The 23050-nt window shown below is 51.5% G+C and overlaps 1 protein-coding gene, 1 long non-coding RNA gene and 1 pseudogene across 9 annotated transcripts in view, besides 4 other annotated features; 1 reads left to right on the top strand and 2 right to left on the bottom strand.

Moving 5' to 3' along the window:
* Window positions 1-18485, top strand: part of HPN-AS1 (HPN antisense RNA 1) — a 47246-nt gene extending 28761 nt beyond the window's left edge. The window contains exon 4 of one of the 2 annotated variants that reach the window (NR_024562.1): window positions 17766-18485. This is a non-coding gene — a long non-coding RNA (HPN antisense RNA 1). Of the gene's footprint in view, window positions 1-1367; window positions 4744-17765 lie in introns of those variants that run through there. The other variant, NR_024561.1, reaches the window with a different exon arrangement.
* LOC100421064 (sushi, nidogen and EGF like domains 1 pseudogene) lies at window positions 1061-1746 on the bottom strand (annotated as a pseudogene).
* Window positions 6713-6913: a silencer, noted in NCBI's record as "peak3446 fragment used in MPRA reporter construct". NCBI's record gives its function as "represses an SCP1 promoter by STARR-seq MPRAs in K562 erythroleukemia cells {active_cell/tissue: K562}" and the evidence as "EXISTENCE:reporter gene assay evidence [ECO:0000049][PMID:32103011]".
* Window positions 8298-8983: an enhancer, noted in NCBI's record as "NANOG-H3K27ac-H3K4me1 hESC enhancer chr19:35559465-35560150 (GRCh37/hg19 assembly coordinates)". NCBI's record gives its function as "activates a minimal SCP1, AML or CMV promoter by ChIP-STARR-seq in primed H9 embryonic stem cells {active_cell/tissue: H9 hESC(primed)}" and the evidence as "EXISTENCE:reporter gene assay evidence [ECO:0000049][PMID:30033119]".
* Window positions 8984-9669: an enhancer, noted in NCBI's record as "NANOG-H3K27ac-H3K4me1 hESC enhancer chr19:35558779-35559464 (GRCh37/hg19 assembly coordinates)". NCBI's record gives its function as "activates a minimal SCP1, AML or CMV promoter by ChIP-STARR-seq in naive and primed H9 embryonic stem cells {active_cell/tissue: H9 hESC(naive and primed)}" and the evidence as "EXISTENCE:reporter gene assay evidence [ECO:0000049][PMID:30033119]".
* HPN (hepsin) overlaps window positions 10971-23050 on the bottom strand; it is a 26068-nt gene continuing 13988 nt past the window's right edge. For 6 of the 7 annotated variants that reach the window (NM_182983.5, NM_002151.5, XM_047438741.1 and 3 more), the window contains 9 exons: window positions 17742-17871; window positions 17548-17670; window positions 17375-17415; window positions 17032-17197; window positions 16727-16917; window positions 12199-12294; window positions 11863-12005; window positions 11512-11676; window positions 10971-11295 (listed from right to left, as the gene is read on the bottom strand). In NM_182983.5, coding sequence (NP_892028.1) covers window positions 11257-11295; window positions 11512-11676; window positions 11863-12005; window positions 12199-12294; window positions 16727-16917; window positions 17032-17197; window positions 17375-17415; window positions 17548-17670; window positions 17742-17871 — 1094 coding nt within the window. In that variant the 3' untranslated portion in view covers window positions 10971-11256. The other variant, XM_017026732.2, reaches the window with a different exon arrangement.
* Window positions 11124-11885: an enhancer, noted in NCBI's record as "H3K4me1 hESC enhancer chr19:35556563-35557324 (GRCh37/hg19 assembly coordinates)". NCBI's record gives its function as "activates a minimal SCP1, AML or CMV promoter by ChIP-STARR-seq in primed H9 embryonic stem cells {active_cell/tissue: H9 hESC(primed)}" and the evidence as "EXISTENCE:reporter gene assay evidence [ECO:0000049][PMID:30033119]".

Below are 23050 nucleotides of genomic sequence, written 5' to 3'. Positions count from 1 at the left end.
CATCGGTGGGCAATGTGAGGTCCATGGCTAGGATGAGAGCCCGGGAGGCTCTGTCTGCCTGCGACCATCGTCGGCCTCAGCGAGTCCACCAAGTGCTTCGCCATCTGCTCGCCATGTGTCCTTCTGTCCATCTAGCCCCCTTCTGCCGTCTGTCTTGCCACCTGCTCTGGTCATCCCAACGTCACTCTGTCTGTCTTTCCATCAACCTGTCCACCTGTCCAACCCTCCTGTCTTCCTGTCCATTGGCCAGCTGGTCTGTCTTCTTGTCCGTCTCTCTGCCTGTTATTCATTTTGTCTGTCTGTCTGCCTGCCTGTCCATCTAACATTTGACTCTGCCCGCCAGTCTCTGTGGCAGTCTCTGGGGCTGTGGGCACTTAGTGTGTCTGCGACTCCACGGCTGTCCGGGTTCTATCCTCCAGCCCGGCTCCCAGCCCCACTCACCAGGATGTGTTCTATTGGGCCATGCGATCTCACTACCACATCCCAGCCATGGATGACCAGCCGCACCAGGGCCTCTGCCACCGGGCCTCCCCTCCTCAACTCCACCTCCACGCAGATGCCAGGAAGCAGGGCCAGGACGAAGTGGCAGGGCTGGAGCCACAGCTGCCATCTGGAGAGTGTGTGCGGGTGGCCCTGGGGACCCAGGTGGCAGGAGGGGCCACGAGGGGCCCAGCAGTGTGGGAAGGGGTGTGCAGGCATACACTGCTGCCCCACCTGGCAGCCCTCTGGCCAGCACCACACCCGGCCTTCCTGCCCACAGTGTGGTGGCTGCAGGCACTGCTGTTCCACAAAGAGGCACCTAGGGGCAGGAACTGGGCTGTGGAGAGAGTGGGCTGCGGTGGGGGTGTCTGGGGCTGAGGCTTGAACCTCAGGTCCTGAGGAAGGTGGGGACTGGGGGTTCTGACTCCTGGATCTTTTTTTTTTTTTTTAATTTGAGACAGAGTTTCGCTCTTGTTGCCCAGGCTAGAGTGCAATGGCGCGATCTTGGCTCACTGCAACCTCCGCCTCCTGGGTTCAAGCAATTCTCCTGCCTCAGTCTCCCAAGTAGCTAAGATTATAGGCATGTGCCACCATGCCCGGCCAATTTTGTATTTTTAACAGAGACGGGGTTTCTCCATGTTGGTCAAGCCTCGAACCCTCAACCTCAGGTAATCCGCCTGCCTCGGCTTCCCAAAGTGCTGGGATTACAGGCATGAGCCACCCCGCCCGGCCTCTGATTCCTGGATCTAAGGATGGAATGGACTGAGGGCTGACTGGACTCCTGGGTCTTGGAGGAGGAGAGTGTGGGGCCTGGGCTCCTGGGCTCTGTGGCTGGGCCCTGGGAGCAGGCAGGTCTGGGGCAGGTTCTCCACCCTTCACCATTGTAGGTGCAGCCGTTGGGGACTGCAAAGCTGTTGATGCAGAAGGCCTAGTGCCTGGGGATGCCCACATTGCTGGTGTCTGCCACATTCAGGATGCCTGAGGTCCGGGAGCCAGGAAGGGTGAAGTAGTCCCTCTGTCGGCCGCTGTTGAAGCCTGCCTGGGGGTGTCATTTGGAACAGGGTCAGCCCACCTGCGTCCTCACCCTCCCCAAGGACCCAGGGAGGCCCCTGTGGGTTCCCCACTCACCTGGGCCGCAATGCCCCCCAGGCCGTGGTGGGGGCTCCCACCGCTGGCCACCCCCATGGTCCACTGGATGTCCTTGTGGTGAAACAGCACCCAGGAGGGGCCGCTGCCCAGGGCCAGCACCTCCTGGAAGGTGTTCACCTGCAGGGCAAGCGCCAGGAGCCAGGGTGTCGTGGGCTGGTCCAGGGGCACCCAGGACCCTCCTCACTGCCCAGTCCTCAACCGAGCTCCATCTGCACCACTAAGCTGGCTGCTTCCAGCTGTGCCACCTCCTGGGCCCCCATCCACACCACATCCCGGGCCCCTACCCATGCCACATCCCAGACCCCCATCCACGCCACCTCCCAGGCCCCTGTCCACACCATGTCCACAGCTGCCTCTGCTGGCACCTGTGCCAGCCTTCCTTTCACATCCCCCAGTCTCGATTTTTCTGCTCTGCTCTCATCCCCTCTCTCTCTCCGTCTCTCTCCTTTTCCTATTCTCTGTCTCTCCATCTGATCATCTCACTCCTCTCGCTTGCTGTCTTGCCTCCTCTCTCTCGCCATTTCTCTCCCTGTTCGTGTCTTCCCTCTTTCTCACCCATTTTCTCTACCTCGCTGCATCTCCATGCTTCCGTCTCTCTGTCTCTCTCTTCCCGCCCCCTCTATCTCTCCCTCGTTCCCCCATCTCCGTCTCTCCTCCGTGGTGTCTCCTCCTTACCCAGGAATCCAAGCCCTTCTTCCCAAGGGGTTGGGCCAAACAGCCTCAGCCTGGGCCCTTCTCTGCCACCCGCTTCCTCACCTGGGGACCAAGTGCCCCGTAAAATGGAATTTGGTCCCACATGGCCACCAGCAGGGCGCAAGGGGTGGGCGGGGCATGGGGGAAGGCTGAGGCCAGGTCTCAGGCCACCTGCTGCGGCAGCTCTGGCTGGCGGCTCTGCCGGTACCACATCTGGCCCCTGCTCAGTGTGGACCCATTGGCCCAGAACGGGACTGCGAAGGCCTGGCCCATCTCCTGGGGAAATGCCTCCAGTGTGAAGAGAGCCACAGGCTCCCCGAAGGACACCAGCCCATTGGTGCAGAACTGGGGGAAGTGAGGAAGGGCAAGACCCGCAGGGGGGTGTTGGCAGGGCAGGGGACAGAAGAGGGACAGGGCCCGCCCCAGGAAGACAGAGGACGAAGCCAGAAGGAGCCAGGAGCTATAGATATAGACAGGCTCCGAGTCAAGAGTGGGGTGGGGAGAAGAGAGAGAGCCCAGGGACCGCACGGTCAGGGCCAGGGCACTCACATAGGCCGTCCCGTGTGTGGCTTCAAAGAGCATGAAGGGCTCCAGCAGCCGCAGCTCCTCAGAGAAGTCATCATCCTCTGCAGGGAGGGCCTGATCCCCACACTCCAGCCCATAGGGGTACAGGAGCGAGGCTGGGGACACGAGACCACTGAGGCTCCCCTCAGAGCCCCAGGGCAGGGCTGTGTCCCCTCAGTCCCCAAGAGAAAGCTCCAGGTCCCCTGAGGGACTCCAGGGTGGGGCCATGGCTCCTCAGACCCCTGGAGCCCTCCCTGCCTGTCCACATGGCCCTGTCCTCTCTCCAGGTTAGGGAGCACATCCATTCTCACCTCTGATCTCCTTGCTCCAAGTCACTTGGTTCTGTAGGACTGAGGGGAAGGATGTCAGCTAAGGGCTGGGGCCCACGTGGCACAGTCGACCCCCTTCCAGAGTCCCCACTCCTACTCACCCACCAGCAGAAGCCACAGTATCCCCATGGTGGCTGCAGGTGCTGCGGGCCAGGCGGGCTTATACCAGGGCAGAGGTGGGGCCAGGGTGGGGACGGGGCAGCTGGAGCTCACCTTCCATTGTTCGAGGGTCCAGGGGGCCTGGGGGTCTCCCAGGGATCCTGGTTCCCATCCGGTCTGCCTGAGGCTGGGCCAGGTCTGGGGTTGGTGGGCAGGGCAAGGGAGGAAAGAGGGGATGGAAATCTTCCAGGGCTTTCCCAGGGGGCCGGGTTGCCAGACCCTGGAGGAACCCCCCACCCATTAGCAGGGCTGGGCACAAGTCAAGCGATCCACAGTGGGAAAGTTGAGCCACTGCTTGGTGAAGGGCCGCTGCTGACAGACAGCTGAACATGCAGGGAGCCTCTTCCCATGGGGCCCTGCTGGTTCTCTTGGAGCAGGTTAGAGATGAGCACACAGCATCCAGGAACGGAGTGCATGTGCATCAAGCAGGGCCAAGATGTGTGGCTGGGGAGACTCGTGGGCTGCTGGCCAGCCCCGGGGGCCCAGGGGTGGGCATCTGCAGGGCATGGCTGGGGCTGCCATGGTGGATAGTCAAGGTCAGGCATTTAGGAGTGTTACTGGACCCAGAAGGGGAGATTCGCCTGGAGACGTGAACGGGGAGACGGGGAGGAGGAGCATACAGGCAAGGGGGCTCGTTACTGTGCACCTGTGAGATTCACGGACCACCCTGGTGGAGGAGGCTCAGAGTTAGGCACTGGGGACTCCATCTTCAAAGCAGTGTCCCAAAGGGGTGCTCCAGACCCTCAAACCCCAGACAGCCCTTTACCTGGTCAAACCACATGGGACAGAGGGTCACCTGTGTTCCTGGACCAAACTGAGGATTAGGCTGCTATTTCTCATGGCCCAGTGATGAGATGCAGATAAACTGGGAGAACAGGGAGGTTTTTTTTGTTTTTGTTTTTGTTTTTGTTTTTGTTTTTTGAGACGGAGTCTCGCCCTATCGCCCAGGCTGGAGTGCAATGGCACTGTCTCGGCTCACGGCAACCTCTGCCTCCCGGGTTCAAGCAATTCTCCTGCCTCAGCCTCCCAAGTAGTTGGGATTACCAACACCCACCACCATGCCTGGCTAATTTTTGTATTATTAGTAGAGACGGGGTTTCTCCATGTTGGTCAGGCTTGTCTCGAATTCCTGACCTCAGGTGATCCGCCTACCTCGGCCTCCCAAAGTGCTGGGATTACAGGCATGAGCCACCGCACCCAGCGAAAAGGGAGTTTTTATTTCTGTAACTGGTTATAGGGTGAAAGCCTGGAAATTGTCCCCAGACCAACTCAAAATTACAAAGTTTTCCAGAGCTTATATACCTTCTAAGCTATATGCCTGTGTGTAAGTGTAGTTTCTTCAGACCCCCAATTAAACTTGTTTAATCCTAAAAGGGTCCTGTTAAGAATTCATTCTTTATCTTGTCATGCTTTAAAGCCCAGGAAAGGCCTGAGCAAAACTCTTGGTAGGCTTTTGTTACATTCCAGCTTTTGTATAGGGCACTGGCTCTATCAGCTTTTAATATTTGACTTAGCCACTCAGTCGGTGCTGAAACAGTTGTTATGGAGGCCTGCGTTAGTGAGACCTGGCCTGCCACACCTGGGCCCAGTCCTCATTCGAAGGCTCCTTTTTGCACCACCAGTCCAAGGAGTGTCTGGGTTAAGGCATCCCATCTTTTTCTCCAGAACACCGCCAGCATCTGGACACATGCACTTCCCTAGCGGTCCAGGGACCCCCCCACCACCCCGCCAGGGAGAAAGTGTCCGAACCTGCTCAGCAGAGAGAGGCTGGGAATGAGAGCTCAGTGCCATATCCCGAGCTGTTCCAGCCCCAGGCCCCAGCGCCAGCCCTGCCCCTCGGAGGTGGACCTTGGACGGGATATGCAGCCCCTCTGTAGGACAGCAAACCCCACAGACCCTCCTTCCCAGCTTGCATGGCGATGAAACAAGTGTTTCCCAAAGGGCGGCACATGGGCTGCTGGCGGGAAACCCCGGGAGAGTATAGGATGGCAGTGAAGAAGGAATTGTTATTATTTCACTAGCATTTGTTTATTTAATACATTTGTTTTGATTTATATTGAAAAACATATATCTGCCACCGCCACATCAAACCCACAGTTTCTTTTTTTTTTTTTTTTTTTTTTTGAGACAGAGTCTCGCTCTGTCGCCCAGGCTGGAGTACAGTGGCGCAAACTCGGCTCACTGCAAGCTCCACCTCCCGGCTTCACGCCATTCTCCTGTCTCAGCCTCCTGAGTAGCTGGGACTACAGGCACCCGCCACCATGCCTGGCTAATTTTTTTGTATTTTTAGTAGAGATGGGGTTTCACCGTGTTAGCCAGGATGGTCTCAATCTCCTGACCTCGTGATCCACCCGCCTCGGCCTCCCAAAGTGCTGGGATTGCAGGTATGAGCCACTGCACCCGGCCTCAAACCCACAGTTTCATAAACATTATTGTTAAAGTCAAGGCTGGCAGGGCACAGTGGCTCATGCCTGTAATCCTAGCACTTTGGGAGGCCAAGGCAGGTGGATCGCTTGAGCCCAGGAGTCTGAGACCAGCCTGGGCAGCATAGCGAGACCCCATCACTATCAAAAATACAAAAATTAGCCAGTCTCATAACCCGGTCTCAAAATAAATAAATCAATAAAAATAATACATAAATAAAGTCAAGGCTAAGCTTAAAAAAAAAAGACACACACACACACACACAAAAGGAAAAGAGATAATTTGAATAAAACAATACAAGTAGTACCAGCGGTATTTGTTTGCCCCTAAGCTCCATAAAGTTGGTTTGTCCTGTCCCCTATATTTCTCCAATTCCTAGAACAGTGTCTGGCACATAATAGGTGCTTAATAAATATTATTTGAATGAATGAATAGCAAAAATTAAGACAGCCACTTTCAAACATCTGAATTTGGGGAAATACTGAAGTAACATGTATAAAACTCTCAGTACAGTACCTGTCACATAGGAAGTGCTCAAAAATATGCATGGATATGTTTATTAATATAAATTATTATTATTATTTAGAAGTGAAACAGGCATTGTGGCCAAATGCTAATTAGTGAAGTATTAAATTAAAGATTTGCCCAAAGCTGACTATCACCTTCTTAGAATGAACTTCTGTAATGTAAGAACAAATGTGAAAGTGTTCTAAAAAGTTATTACTGTCATAATTTTATTATCCACAATTTTAGCAGGGAAATATTTCAGGTTGAACACCTTACTGAGGGATCATTTCTCTGCTTTGTCAGCTGTTAATTTGCTCCGATAGTCCATAAGCTCCTAGGGCAGTTTTAAGATGTGGCCCCAAATTTTTTGACCTGCCTTCCACCACCAAAGGGTGGGGTCTCCATCTCCTCCTCTAGGGTCTGGACAGGTTTGTGATTGCTTCAGCTGACAGAGTGGAGCAGAAATGAGGCTGGGGTGTAAAGGCCAGTGTCTGCTGGAATGCTCACTCTGGAGCCATGAGCCACCACGTGAGAAGTTCAAATGTCCTTGGGTAGCCATATTGGAAGGAAGCCCAAGTTAGCCAGACAATGAGTCCACAGTACCAGCTGAGCTCAGCTTTTGAGTGATCCCAGCCCGGATACTAGACTTGTGAGTAAAGAGCCTCCTTTTGGGATACCGAGGCAGGAGGGTCACTTGAGCCCAGGAGTTCAAGACCAGCCTGGGCAACCAGTCCCATCTCTACAAAAAAAAAATAAAATTAGTTGGGTATGGTGGCACACACCCGTAGTCCCAGTTACTTGGGAAGCTAAGTTGGGAGGATCGATTGAGCCCAGGTGGTAGAAGTTTTAGTGAGCCATGATCACACCACTGCACTCCAGCCTGGGCGACAGAGTGGGACCCTGTTTCAAAACAAACAAACAAAAGAAGCCTCCCTATTCCAGTCCCTGTTCCTTTAGGCTTTCTAGCTAAGGACCTGGTCATCAGGGAGCAGAGACAAGCTGTGCCTGCTGTTCCCTGTCCAACTTTCTGAGCTGCAGAATCCATGAGCATTTACTGTACCCACTAGCTTTGGGTGGTATGTCATGCAGCAAGAGCCAAAACAGCTCCTCGCTTCATAACTGCAGGATTGAAACAGTGTTACTTTTTATGCAGAAACTAAAGTCCATCTCCCTACTTATGCTGCTATCTGAATGTTCACAATAATTATTTCTGAATATAAAATGAATAGCCTTCACCATCATTGCTAATCATGGCTGTGATTTTATGTATGAAATAACTGTTGTGGCAGAGTAGCTGTACATTTCTCCTTCAACCCAGCTGGGAGAATGCCAACTTATAACCACATATGGAGCTATCTGTTCCAACTAACATCCAGAAAGCTTTTCTATATTTGAAAAGGACTATGTAGATATAAATGCTAAATAGGAATGCAAAACTTGGCTTGGGTTCCTGATGTAGTTGCACTAATTCTGTAAGATGGGTCAAATATTTCTGATTCTGAGCGGCACCACAATGACATGGAAGTAATTTTCATATTCAGCTTTTCTGAAGACTGAGACCCTGGCAGGAACTGAAAGCAACCTTGTGACTGTTATTATTCTTTTTAAATATCTTCCTAGCTCTTTGGGGTGAGTGGCAAGGTTGCTGGGAGCAGGAGGAGAAACTGAGGCTCACTGACCCCTGGCATACAAGGGAAACCAGTGAATGGCTGTTGAGTGAATCACAATCTCCCCAGCCCCTCCACTCCTCCAACAAAGCAACAGTGCAGACAGAACTCAGAATGGCTGTCAGAGGCGTTTGAACCAGAGCAACTCCATCTTAAATAGGACCTGGGTAAAGTAAGGCGGAGACCTGCTGGCCCGCATTCCCGGTAAATTAAGGCATTCTAAGTCAGAGGATGAGAGAGGAGGTCGGCACAAGATACAGGTCATAAAGACCTTTCTGATAAAACAGACTGCAGTAAAGAAGTCGGGAAAACCCACCAAAACCAAGATGGCCATGAAAGTGACCTCTGATTGTCCTCACTGCTACACCCCCACCAGCGCTATGACAATTTACAAATGCCGTGGCAATGTTGGGAAGTTATCCTATATGGTCTAAAAAGGGGAGGCGTCAATAATCCACCCCTTGTTTAGCATAACTAAATAATAAATCAAGACTAAATCAAGAAATAACCATAACAATGGGCAACCAGCAACCCTCGGGGCTGCTCTGTCTATGGAGTAGCCATTCTTTTATTCCTTTACTTTCTTAATCAACTTGCTTTCACTTTACTCTGTGGACTTGCCATGAATTCTTTCTTGCACGAGATCCAAGAACCCCTGGGGTCTGGATCAGGACCCCTTTCCAATAACATGGCCACCTGGTTTTTATTTTCCCAGCAGGATGCCTGTTGGCTTTTAATGACCAAATTTCCATCAGATCCCCTAGAATAAGGCCACATCCCCCCCAGACTTCCCAGGGCAGGGCCATGCCTTCTTCAGTGCCCCTCACACCCGCCCTTCTCCTCACCAGAGCAAACTGTGTCCCTCCAGGACATGGTCACCTCAGTTTAGAACCCCCAGGGTGGACCATGTTCTCTCAGAGTCCCCAGACTTCCTAAAACACAGGTACAGTACATTTCTCAGCTGGCAATTACAAAGGAAAACTCAGTCACTCCGTGTTGTAACTCAATACGTTTCTAACAAAGCAAGCCGTAGGTCAGGTCTCAAATTACATCCCACATGCCATGGGTAGAACACCACAGCCAGAGGTAGACGTTTGGGGAAACTGCACTGAGGCTCTGCTAACACGATGTGGGCCTGGGGGCTCCTGACCAACAAAGCAGTGGTGGGGCTCAACCTCGCCAGGGGTGTGGGGATCGGGGAGTGACGCTGGGATCGTTTTCCAAATGCACAGTTTGTCAGTTTCTCAAAGGAGCTCTTGTAGATCATCTATATTTTAGGAAGCTGGGCTGGGTGCAGTGGCTTAGGCTTGTAATCCCAGCACTTTGGGAGGCCAAGGTGGGCGGATCACCTGAGGTCAGGAGTTCGAGACCAGCCTGCCAACATGGTGAAACCCGTCTCTACTAAAAATACAAAAATTAGCCAGGTGTGGCAGCAGACATCTGTAATCCCAGTGTCAGGCCTCTGAGCCCAAGCCTGCATGTATACATCCAGATGGCCTGAAGTAACTGAAGAATCACAAAAGAAGTGAAAATGGCCGGTTCCTGCCTTAACTGATGACATTACCTTGTGAAATTCCTTCTCCTGGCTCAGAAGCTCCCCCACTGAGCACCTTGTGACCCCCACCCCTGCCCGCCAGAGAACAAACCCCTTTGACTGTAATTTTCCACTACCTATCCAAATCCCATAAAACGGCCCCACCCCTATCTCCCTTCACTGACTCTCTTTTCGGACTCAGCCTGCCTGCACCCAGGTGATTAGAAAGCTTTATTGCTCACACAAAGCCTGTTTGGTGGTCTCTTCACATGGATGCGCGTGACACCCAGCACTTTGGGAGGCCGAGGCAGGTGGATCACCTGAGGTCAGGAGTTCGAGAGCAGCCTGGCCAACATGGTGACAGCCCGTCTCTACTAAAAATACAAAAATCAGCTGGGCGTGGTGGGGCACGCCTGTAATCCCAGCTACTCGGGAGGCCGAGGCAGGAGAATCGCTTGAACCCAGGAGGCGGAGGTTGCAGTGAGCTAAGATCACGCCACTGCACTCCAACCTGGGAGACAAGAGTGAAACTCTGTCTCAAAAAAAAAAAAAAAAAAAAAAAGGAAATTGCTTGGAAGCTGTGGTCCATGGGTGATGTATGATAATTGTTATTATTTAAAGTCATGGTGAACAGGCTCCCCCGCTGAGCCTTTCTTCAGCAGAACAGCAGGTTTTCAGCAACATGCGGCTGACTCCAGGCAGGAAACCCCTTAATGTGTCACAATGTTGGGGCAGCAGTGCCCCCTGGTGGCCATCGGGGCTGCATGAGGCTCTGCAGAGGCTCTACAGAAGGGGGTTCCTCCCCAGAAGCTGCCCAGATGGAGAAAGGGGTTGGGGGAGGGTCTCAGGCTGTGTTCCCAGCGTCTCCCTATCTCCACCTTACAGGGCCCCGTTTTCCGTGTTGGTTCAAGGTAGATGTCTTTTTTGCTCACTGAGCATCTATTTCCACTTCTGGAAATAGCACCCTATTTCCTTTGGGACTCCCACACTCAGGTCACACGATTCTTGAAGGCCTAGCGCCTCCCACTCCACCCCGCTCCACCCCTACCGCGTACATCCGGTGCACAGTGATTTGCCAAGGGATGAGCACGTGACCCAAATCTGTACAATGGGAGCTGGGCCTGGGTTTTTGTTGTTGTTGCCTGGGACTTTTTCTGCAGTGATTGGGAAAGAGTTTGTGTGGAAGGGGACATCTCTCTCTCTGGTTGTAGGAGAGGCTGCTTGGAAATGAAGCTAACACAGCCTAAGGCAGATTTGAGAGAGCAGCTGGATCCAGCTGTACCTGAAGCCAATTTGCTCCAGGAAAATTCCAGTTAAGTGAACCAATTAAAATCTTAAATCTCAAATCAGTGGGAACTGAGGGACCCACACTCTCTGTCTGATTTGCGCCAGGTCCTAATTCTTCTCTTCCTTCCTGACAAAATGTCCTCATTGCTGTGTACATTTGTAAGCTCGGAGGCCACATTAATCAAAACCATCTTTATTATTTAAAGAGCATCCCGTCATCAGGGGCACCTAGACAGGAGTCCCAGACAGCAGAACAATATTTACATGGGGGTCAGGAGGGTGAGGTTGGGTGGTCTCGGGGCTGAGTGGGCCCGCCACTGTGGAAGAGAGGACCCTGGAGGGAGGGTGTCCTTGGACCTGTGGACCGGGCCCAAGAAGAAAAACGTCCCATCCTAGGCCCAGCGTGGATCCCACCACCGGGATCACCTCGGGCCCTGGAGGCTGCGCAGCGAGAAGCCACCGGTCAGAGCTGGGTCACCATGCCGCTGGCTTCGGAGTGAGTCTGGGGAAAGACAGCTGGGGGCTCCCGAGGTCTGAGAGGCTTCCACGTCCCACCACTGGCTTCCCTTCCCCAGGAACCCTTCAAAGTCCATCTGTTCCCAAGGGGGGCCCTCTTCTAGGCCTGAGCGTAGGTTTCCTAAAACAAATCTCTGCCTCCCTTCCCCCATTAGACACCCAAACGTCCCCACCCTGGCTCCCATCTGGACCCAACTTTCACCTTTATGGCCTGGAAGATCCACTCCCGGAAGTCACTGACTTTGGTGTAGACGCCTGGCTTCTGGGCCAGGGCACAGCCAGTGCCCCAACTCACAATGCCACACAGCCGCCAACGTGGCGTCCGAGAGATGCTGTCCTCACACACAAAGGGACCACCGCTGTCGCCCTGGGAGGGGAGAGGGAGGTCTGGCTGAAGGCCAAAGTGGTTGGACAGGAGGCCCACCCCGGGATGACATGGGCTGTGGCCCCAGAGCCCTCAGGCTTTTAGATGGGGAGCCTGACCACCCACTCCCCTGCATCTCCATCCCTGGGGTGGCAGCGACCAGGGGGCTGCCCCTACAGAGTCCCTCACCTGGCAGGCATCAATGCCACCCTCGGGGTAGCCAGCACAGAACATCTTGGGCTTGATCTGGTTTCCATAGAAGTCAGCGCCATTGCAGACATCATTGCTGATTATGGGGACTCGAGCCTCCTGGAGTACCCCGGCCTGTTGGCCTGGGGGTGTGCAGGCAAGGCTGGCCAGAGCTGGGGGGTGTACACACCCCCCTTCCCTCCTGGTGCCCACCCCATTCCCCTCAGCGTCCCTACTCCTCATGGTCAAGACTCATCCAACCAGCCAGACTGCCCATCCCCAGCCTAGTTCAGAGTCTCCCAAACGGTGGCATCAGAGGCAGAGGACAGGACTCACCATAGTACTGCGTGTTGCCCCAGCCCGTCACGGTACAGATCTTGCCATCCACCAGGGCCTGGCCGGCAGCTGGGAGGCACACAGGCTGGATGTATTCTGTGAGAGAGACAATGCTGGTCCAGCCCCCGCTGGCCTGCCCCACCTGGTACAAACCTCTGTCCAGCTGCTACCATGGCCCCTAACACACCCTGCCCTCTCTGTTCTTTAAAAAAAAAACCACAATAGGCTGGGCACAGTGGCTCATGCCTGTAATCCCAGCACTTTGGGAGGCCGAGGCAGGAGGATCACTTGATGTCAGGAGTTTGAGACCAGCCTGGCCAACGTGGCGAAACCTCATCTCTACTAAAAATACAAAAATTAGCCGGGCATGGTGGCACGCACCTGTAATCCCAGCTACTCGGGAGACTGAGGCAGAAGAATCACTTGAACCCAGGAGGTGGAGGTTGCAGTGAGCCGAGATCATGTCATTGCACTCCAGCCTGGGCGACAGAGCAAGACTCTGTCTCAAAAACAAACAAACAAACAAAAAAGCCACAACGGAAGTCGCCACGTACCAAGAGCTCATCGCATACTAGGCGCCTTCCTGCACCATTTTCTTTAATGTTTCATCAGCCCAGAGAGGTAGGGTCTATATTATCCCATTTTAGAGAGGGGGAAAATGAGGCCAAGTCACGTGTCCAAAGTTTCATAACATGTATGTTTTAACACAGCTTGTTTTCATTTCTAAGCCTGCAGTGTCACCCAGGCCAGAGTGCAGTGGCAGGAACATGGCTCACTGCAGCCTCGACCTCCTGGGCTCAAGCAATCCTCCTGCCTCAGCCTCCCAAAGCACTGGGATTACAGATGGCAGGTGCCTGTAATCCCAGCTACTCAGGAGGCTGAGGCAGGAGAATCGCTTGAACCTAGGAGGCAGAGTTTGCAGGGAGCCGAGATTGCGCCATTGCACTCCAGCCTGGGTGACAGAGCAAGACTCTGTCTCAAAAAAAGAAAGAGAGAGAGAGAAGAAAGAGAGAGAGAGAGAGAGAGACACTCCTATCTTGAGACATTTGACTTCCACCTAGCAGAAAATCATAATAATAAATACACAGGTCTACAGAGAGAGTGGTAACCCTGAGATGTGGTGTCCTTGTGCAGTGCACAACCTATGCAAGGGTTCCTGGCAGCCCTGCCTGTTGCCTGCTGCCTGCTGCCTGCTGATGACATCACCTGCCTGAGTCTTAGAGCTCTCAGATGTAGAATGGAAATAATAATCACTTATCCCCAGAAGTTGTAGTGAGAAATTGGTGAGTCATTGAGTTGCATGCCAGGCAAACAGCAAGTGTTCATATAACTAGTAAAAGTATTAAACAACAATAGTAGCAATTGCTAACATTTACCAGTGTTCACTATGTGCTGGCAGTTCTCTAAGCTCTTTACTCATATTAACCCTTTTAATTGTCTCAATAACCCTAGGAAGTCATTTTACAGATAAGGGAAACTGAGGCACGGTGAGGTGAAGCCATGTGTCCAAGATCACACAGTTGGCAAATATCTGAATCTGACCCCAAAGCCCATGCTGTGACCCCCTCAGCCCTGTGTCTGAAATCCCAGCCGCTTCCACCTGTCCACCTGTCCTCAAAGATGCGTCCTTACTTCAATATTAACTCTCTCACTCTTTTCACTAAGGAGAAGGGTGTGGCAACGATCTTGGCTCACTGCAACCTCCACCTCCTGGGTTCAAGTGATTCTCCTGCCTCTGCCTCCAGAGTAGCTGAGACTACAGGTGCCTGCCACTACACCTGGCTAATTTTTGTGTTTTTAGTAGAGATGGGGTTTCACCACGTTGGCCAGGCTGGTCTCAAACTCCCGACCTCAAGTGATCTGCCCGCTTCAGCCTCTCAAAGTGCTGGGATTACAGGCGTGAGCCACCATGTCAGGACAGGGTTTGGTTTTAAAGAAAAGCATGTATCACTCCCTTCAATGGGAAACCAGTACCACAGATCATGAAAAATAAAATAAACATAAAAATAAACATAATGCCAACCCCAACATGGCCCTGGATTCTCCGTCACCACAGCGTGGGGGCCACAAGCACAGATTCCAGTGCCAGTCCACCTGGGCACAAATCTTTGCCGTTCACCAGCTGTACGAATTTGGGGCATTGTTTGCCTTCTTTGGGTTGGGACCTTTTCCTGGGTGGAAAACAGGATCTTAAGAGAACCCTCCTTACCAGGGTGTGCTGGGGTTGCTGTGAGAACTAAGTGAGTCCATACACAGGACATATTTGGAATGGTGCCTGGCACACTGCTATGTTTACCAGATTATTTTACTGTGTTGTGTACACTCATCATGTACTCCCTTATTCCCTTTTACTACTTCATGATCATGAACTCGCTATACTCGAATACTCAATCATGAACTCGAATACTACTCGCTATTACTACTTCATGATCATCATTATCACCGTTATTATTATTATGTTCTGAGACAGGGTCTCGCTCTATCAACCAGGCTGGAATGCAGTGGTGTGATCATGGCTCACTGCAGCCTTGATCTCCTGGGTGATCAGGTGATTCTCCTGCCTCCGCCTCCCAAGTAGCTGGGACCACAGGCGCGCACCACCACAGCCAGCTAATTTTTTTTGTTTGTAGAGATGGGGTTTTGCCATGTTGCCCAGGCGAGTCTTGAACTCCTGAGCTCAAGCGATACCCCCACCTTGGCCTGGGATTACATGCCCAGCCTATTTTTATTATTATTATTACACTGCAGCCTGCTGAAATCTGAAGCCCAGGGCCTGCTTTTAATCCAAAAGGAAGATGTATGTGTTGGAGAGGTGTTAAGGACATGTTGGCACCTAAGTGAGTCTCAGTAAGACCAAGGGAATACTCCAGGGAATTGCAGAGGGAATGACTCCTAACTTACTTTCTAAGTCTGATTCATTCATTTTTAACACATTTTCTTTTCATTTTATTAGTTTTTTGGTAACAGCTTGATTGAACTACTATTCACATATTAGACAATTCCTTTTAAAGGCACAAGTCACTGGCTTTTTGTGTAGTCACAGACAAGTGCAACCATGATCATGATCGACTTAGAATCTTTCATCACCCAGACAAGAAACCTTGTGTCCTTCACCAGTCACCTCCCAATCTCCCATCCCCACCTCCCACCCTGCCACCATCAATCAACTTTCTATCTCTACCGATGTGCCTATTCTAGACATTTCTTTTCTTTCTTTCCTTTTCTTTTCTTCTTTTCTTCCTTCCTTCCTTTCTTTTCTTTCTCTTTCTTTCTTTCTTCTTTTTTTAACAGACAAGGTTTTGCTCTGTTACCCAGGCTGGAGTACAGTGGCACAATCCTAGCCCACTGCAGCCTCAAACTCCTGGGCTCAAGTGATCCTCCTGCCTTAGCCTCCTGAGTAACTGGAACTACAGGTATCCGTCACCACACCTAGCTCATTTTTTTAAGTGATGGGGTCTTGCTATGTTGCCCAGGCTGGTCTTAAACTCCTGAGCACAAACAATCCTCCCATCTCAGCTGCCCAGAGTGCCAGGATTACAGGCGTGAGCCACCGTGCCCAGCCTTGTACATTTCATACAAGTGGCATCCTACAGTATGTGGCCTTTGCGGCTGGCTTGTCTCATTCAGCACTGTTCTCAAGTTTCATCCTTGTGGTAGCATGAATCAGTACCTCATTCATTTCTATGGTCCAATATTCTCCCGTTGTGTGGATATACCACATTTTTTTTGTTATTTATTTATTTATTTTCAAGATGACAGAGCCTTGCTCTGTCAGCCAGGCTGGAGTGCAGTGGTGTGATCTCGGCTCACTGCAATCTCCACCTCCCGGGTTCAAGAGATTCTCCTGCCTCATCCTCCCGAGTAGCTGGGATTACAGGCGTGTGCCACCACGCCAGGCTAATTTTTGTATTTTTAGTAGAGATGGAGTTTCACCATGTTGGCCAGGCTAATTTTTGTATTTTTAGTAGAGATGGAGTTTCACCATGTTGGCCAGGCTAATTTTTGTATTTTTAGTAGAGATGGAGTTTCACCATGTTGGCCAGGCTGGTTTCAAACTCCTGACCTCGTGATCCACCCACCTCGGCCTCCCAAAGTGCTGGGATTACAGGCATGAGCCACCGCGCCCGGTCAATATACCACATTTTCTTTATGCATTTGTCCGATGAAACAGTCTTGGGCTGTTTCCATCTTTGGGCTATTATGAATAATGCTGCTATGAACACTGATGTACGAGTTTTGGTGCAGACACAGTTTCCATTTGTCTTAGGTATATACCTCCTGTCCTGGGAGTGGAAGTGTTGGGTCCAATGGTAACTTTATGTATACTTCTTGGGGAAATGCTGGCAAATTTTCCAAATTGGCTGCACTGATCATTGATAGTTAAGGCCCACTTTGTGCTCCCTCGAGATCATTCCCCTTATTGCCAAGGATGCCTGAGCCATAAGTTGATTGCCTTGTGCCCCTGGTCCCCTCCTCTGTCCTCCTGGCCTCGGGTCCTCAAGCCCCATGGCTCAGCCCTTAGACTTACCTGTGAGGGGCAGGGGACTGGAGAGGTGGACCAGGGCAATATCGTTGCTGTTCTCCTCGCTGTTGGGGTCCCGAAAGGGAAGATAGCCCCCGTGGTAGACCACAGCCTGCACCCCCAGCTGCAGACCGTGGGGAGAGGCCTGGGCCACGGCACCGGCAAACACTCGCCATCGGGACAGGACCCGGTTCCGCCTACCAGGGAAAGGGGTGGAGGGTGGCCACCTGCCTGGGCACAATCCGCCCTCCTCCCCACTGTCTCTCCGCTCCTCTGCCTCCCCATCATCAGCGCCATTGGGGGGCACTCACTCCGGGAAGCAGTGGGCGGCTGTCAGCACCCAGTCCCCGGAGAGCAGGGATCCCCCACAGAGGTGTGCTCCATCATAGCGAAGGCTGACTTGCCACGGCCACCGGCCCAAGCTGGTGTCCCGGCCTCCCACGATGCGGTCCACGGGCAGCTTCCTGCGGCCACAGTCTGTGGGACAAGGGTCAGCAGGGGGCGGCGACAGGGGACTGGAGCCCAGGTCCCCAGAGCCCAGGCTTGGCCCTGCCCTAGGGGGTCTGAAAGTACATGGCCCCATCCTGGGGAGCTTGAGGGGACGTGGCCTCCCCAAGGGCCTAAAGGAGAGGGTTCTGAGTTTTAGGATCTCACCTTGGCAGATGGCGGCCAAGAAACGGCCTCTGGGGCAATCACTGGGAGAGATGGGATTGGAGACACAGAAAGAAAGGAAATAGAGACCAGTTAAGACAGGTGGAAGGAAAACGGGGAGAGGGAGTGCCTTGGGGGTCTGAGGTGTTGCCCCACCTGCCCGCTGCCCTCCTCACCACACGGAGATGACCTCCAGCAGCCTCTGGGTGTGGGGCAGCCTCCCCTCGTCCACACAGAAGAAGCCCGACGTGCCATTGGCGCCCGCCGTTCGCACGTCCAGCTCGGAGTGGGTCAGTGCCCTGGGCGGGGCAGGGGTTAGGCCTGCTCCCCAGCCCCTCCCGGCTCCCACCCCTCCGAGGGCCCCCAGTACCTGAGGAAGCCCATCTCCTCGCAGCTGAGTCCGGCTACCCTGGCGTTGGAGCGCGAGGAGCACAGCAGCCGCCACGTCCCTTCCGTCTTGTCAAAGACCATGAGCCGAGCGTCCGCAGAGCTGACCTGCACTGCAGGGCGACAGGGCCCGGGGCCGCCTGGGTCCCACAGCCAGGCTCCCCACATGCTTCCCCAGCCGGAGCCCCTCCTGGCCTGTGCTCCAGCCATGTGGTGTAGACGTGAACCCCAGCCCATCGGAGGGTTGCAGCCCCCACATCTGCGATTGCATCTGGAATCATGACTCAAGGACTTTTTTTTTTTAAAGACAGGGTCTCGCTCTGTTGCCCAGGCTGGAGTGTAGTGGTGTGATCTTGGCTCACTGTAGCCTTGACCTCCCAGACTCAAGAAATCCTCCTACCTCAACCTCCTGAGTAGCTAGGACCACAGGCGTGCACCACCACACCTGACTAATTTTTTTGTTTGTTTGTTTTGTTTTGTTTTGTTTTGTAGAGACGGGTCTTGCTATGTTGCCCAGGCTGGTCTTGAACTCCTAGGCTCAAGCAATCTTCCTGCCTCTGCCTCCTAAAATGCTGGGATTACAGGTGGGATTACAGAGCACCATGGCACTCTGCCAGACTCAAGGACTCAGGTCGGACCAATCAACAGCAGCCTTGAGGCTGTGGCCGGCCCCTCCGCGAACCAGGGGAACTTCACTCTCCATTAGAAGTCCTAAGTTGGCTGCTCAGGAGCTGCAGGTCTGGAAGGTGACTTGGACATTCGGGAAGAAAAAAAACCATTTAACCAAGTTCCCAAGAGAATCCAGCACTTGAGGCTGGATCTGTTAAGGGTCATGTTCACCCTCTTGAGGGAAAAAGTGAGCTAACGTGGAGGAGAGTCAAGAGATTTCTGATAACATTTTATTTTATTATTGTATTTTTTGTGGAGAAACCGAAGCTCTTTATTAGTATGTTTGTCATTTGTCTTTTTCCATTTGTCTTTGGTCACACCCTTAACTCATATAAAAAGACCTCTCACTTTATACGTACACAGACAGCATATGGAAAATAGAAGAACAAATTTGTTGCCAGTTTGTAGATCATAGCCTGGTTTCTTCATATGAACTTTTCCATAGCTATATGGAGTAGTATTATTATTACATAATATAATATTAATATATTGTTATAATATAATATTAATATATTGTTATAATATAATAATATATTATTATAATATAATATTAATATATTATTAGAATATAATACTAATATATTGTTATAATATAATATTAATATATTATTATTATTATATCAAACAGATTAACTCTCCTTCCAGAGTGATTTCTATCTTTTAAAATATGTATTTATTTGGGAGGCCGAGATGGGTGGATCACAAGGTCAGGAGTTCAAGACCAGCCTGGCCAAGATGATGAAACCTCGTCTCTATGAAAACTACAAAAATTAGCCAGGCATGATGGCAGGTGCCTGTAATCCCAGCTACTCGGGAGGCTGAGGCAGGAGAATTGCTTGAACCTGGGCAGCAGAGGTTGCAGTGAGCCAAGATCGTGCCACTGCACTCCAGTTTGGGCGACAGAGTGAGACTCCATCTCAAAAATATATATGTATTTATTTTATTTTTATTTATTTATTTTTTTGAGACGGAGTCTCACTCTGTTGTCCAGGCTGGTGTGCAGTGGTGCAATCTCAGCTCACTGCAACCTCTGCCTCCCGGGTTCAAGCGATTCTTCTGCCTCAGCCTCCCGAGTGGCTGGGATTACAGACATGCACCACCATGCCCAGCTAATTTTTTTGTATTTTAAGTAGAGATGGGGTTTCACCATGTTGGCCAGGCTAGTCTCAAACTCCTGACCTCAGGTGATCTGCCTGCCTCGGCCTCCCAAAGTGCTGCGATTATAGGTGTGAGCCACTGCACCCGGCCTTAAAATATGTATTTATTTTAATTGACAAAATTATATACATTGATGGTGTACAAGATGATGTGAAATATGTATACGTTGTGGAACGGCTAAATCAAGCTAATTAACACATGCACTACCCTTTGTGTGTGGTGAGAACACTTAAAATATCTTTTAGCAATGTTCAAGTATATAATATATTGTTATTAACTATAATCACCATGTTGTTCAATATATCTCTTGAACTTATTTTTCCTGTCTAATGGAAATTTTGAATTATTTGTCCAACAAGACATTTATATCTTTAAATTAAATAATATTTAATCATTTTGGTATAAATACTTCTCATTTCTTAAACTTACCCTTCTATGTTTTATGAAAAATAACTTTAATAATATAGTATAAATACATATCAATTTTTAATATCGGAATTCATTTCCCATCTGATAACTTTTTTTTTTTTTTTGAGACAGAGTCTCGCTCTGTCACCCAGGCTGGAATGCACTGGTGCAACCTTGGGTCACTGTAACCTCCGCCTCCCGGATTCAAGCCATTGTCCTGCCTCAGCCTCCCGAGTAGCTGGAGCTACAGACACATGCCACCACACTTGGCTAATTTTTTGTATTTTTAGTAGACACGGGGTTTCACCATGTTGGCCAGGCTGGTCTCGAACTCCTGACCTCAAGTGATCTGCCTGTCTTGGCCTCCCAAAGTGCTGGATGACAGGCGTGAGCTACTGCACCTGGCCCCCATCTGATAACATTTTAAAGCCCCTTGATACAGCCAGGTTTGAAGAACCTCTGTGACTGTCGGTTAAGTGAGTTAGTAAATCATATCCCCTTTTGTTTTTAGCCAGTTTATTTTTTCTTTTTGTCTTTTGTAGGCTGAAAACCTTTGACTAATACACCAGACTGCCAATCTTGACTATTGCCAGATTGATAATCAATATCCTATAGTCAGAAAGAAAAGAAGAGGGAAAGAAGGAAAGAAAGAAAGAAAACAATAATGCTCTTTTATGCAGGACTTGTCAGAGCCTTGGATATGCTAAAGTGCGTAATTCTCCAGGCAGAGGATGGAGTATTCATTCATTCACTCAGCAAGCGTTAACTGGACACATACTCCATGCCCAGTGAGGGGTGATCCTGGAGACACAGATGGCCGAGACAGTCCTGGGCTTTGCTTTCGGCAAACCACATTATAGGGGATAGGGAGACAGATGGCCATAAAATGTCACCCAGCCAAACACATCATTACAAATTGTGACATGAGGCAGGGCTGGGATATACGAGAAGGCTAGAGGGAGCTCCCGGGAGACTGTTCATGTCTGGGGCTGGTTGGGGGGCAATTTGTGGTGAGAACAGATGTCCCCTGAAACCCCTCAGTCTGTTCCCCACACACCTCAGAGGAACCTGTTAACACCTAAGTCAGGTCACAGACCCTGGGGTATTGATTTCTATTTACCAAACACTTTGTACCTGCCAGGCTCTATTTTAGGCAGTGAACAAATCACCACTGCAATGAACAAATCAGACAAAAACCCCGACCCCTGTGGAACTCAAAGCTCAGTAGGTGAGACAAATCAAGAAAGGGACAAATAAGTAGGATATATTATGTGTCACAAGATAGGAAGGGGCCACAGAGAAAAATAAAATGCCACCGAGGGAGGGGAGTGCCGGCATGGAGGGTGGGGTGAGGTTGCACTTTTCAGTCGCTGCAAGGAGAGCGTCCCTGGGAAGGTGGTGCAAGAACAAAGACCTGCAGGAGGTGAGAAAGTGTCAGGAGGTGTGTGAGATCAGCACGGAGACAGAGGGACTTGCAGATGCAAAGATCCCAAGGCTGGTGTGGGGGACTGGGGGGAGTGCTCCAGGAACAGTGGGAGGCCAGAGCAGAGTGAGCCAGGGAGGGGCAGATCAGGTGGGAGCTAGAAATAGAGCAACATCAGGGCTTTGCTGGCACCTGGTGTGAGGTGCAGCCAGGGGAGGGCCCTGACCTGACTCAGGTGGTCACCAGCTCCCTCTGGCTGCAAGTGGGGAACCAGCATGAGCCACTGTACCTGGCCCCCATCTGATAACATTTTAAAGCCTCTTGAGGCAGCCAGGTTTTAAGACCCTCCAGAATTGCCGGTTAAGTGAGTGAGTCATATCCCCTTTGTGGGATATGATTGGGGGGCAGGGATGGGAGCAGGGAGGCCAGGGAGGAGGCTCTGGGATGTCCAGAGGGGAGGGGAAGGGGGCTGGAGCAGGGTGGGGGCAGTGGACGGGGAGAAGAGTTCAGATTTTGGAGAGGTTCTGTAGGTGCAGCTGACAGGGTTTCCTGCAAGATCTGATTCATGGGTGACTGGAGGAACTGGGAGGGTAACCGAGGGGTTTGGCCTGAGCCTGAAAAGATGGGGCTGACAGAGATGGGGACGGAAGGAGCAGGTTCAGGGAGAGATCAGCTGTGAACCTCTTTGTCCTTTCCTTTCCTTCTCCCTGCCACTTTTTTTTTTCTTTTTTGAGACAGGGTCTCGCTCCACCACCCAGGCTGGAGTGCAGTGGCACGATCATAGCTCATTGCAGCCTCAACCTCCTGGGCTCAAACGATCCTCCCGCCTCAACCTCCCAAGTAGCTAGGACCACAGGGGCATACCACCACACCCTGCTAATTTGTTTATTTTTTTATGTTAGGATAAAGCTGAGTGACAATAGCCAGGTTAGAACCCAGCAAAGCCTGAGCTAAAAACGCCTTTTAAATTTATTTTTTTCTGTAGAGACAGGGTATTGCTATATTGTCCAGGCTGATCTCAAACTCCTGGCCTCAAGCAATCCTCCCACCTTGGCCTCCCAAAGTGCTGGGATGGCAGGTGTGAGCCACCATGTCTTTTTGTCCTTTTCTCAAGAGCCTCCTGCCTGGCCTGGGCTCTGAGAGCACATTCTGGGAAACCGAGTCAAATGAAAACTTGCTTTTGCATCCTCTTAGAAGGAACCTGGTGAGGCCACACACCAGCTGAGGGGTCTTCCCACAGCCCCGCAGGTTGGGACAAGGAGAAGCAAGACTTCCAAGTAGAACTCTCCCCAGCTGAGGACCTACTGTGTTCCTGGGGCTAGGCTACCTCTGCCCCACCATCAACCAAGGCCTCGTCGCACACCCCAGGAGCCACGAAGATCATCCCCAAATTCCAGACGGGGAAGCTGAGGCTCAGAGAGGTGGGGTGGCTTCCCCAACGTCACCAAATGCACGAGAAGCAGGGAGAGAGGATTCGAAATCAGGTCTGAGTGACTTCAAACCCCAAGCTTTTAACATTGCCCTGGACAGCCTCTCAAGAGACTTCCCCTCTGGAGGGTTAAACAACAGCACAGTAATAATAGCACTGGCTACGTTTACTGGGGGGTGTCAGTGGGCTGGCCCCATGCTATGCA

Source organism: Homo sapiens, chromosome 19 (genome assembly GCF_000001405.40).
Source record: "Homo sapiens chromosome 19, GRCh38.p14 Primary Assembly".
Classification (NCBI taxonomy): domain Eukaryota; kingdom Metazoa; phylum Chordata; class Mammalia; order Primates; family Hominidae; genus Homo; species Homo sapiens.
The sequence above is the reverse complement of the archived record's forward strand: the minus strand, read 5'-3'. Positions and strand labels throughout refer to the sequence as shown.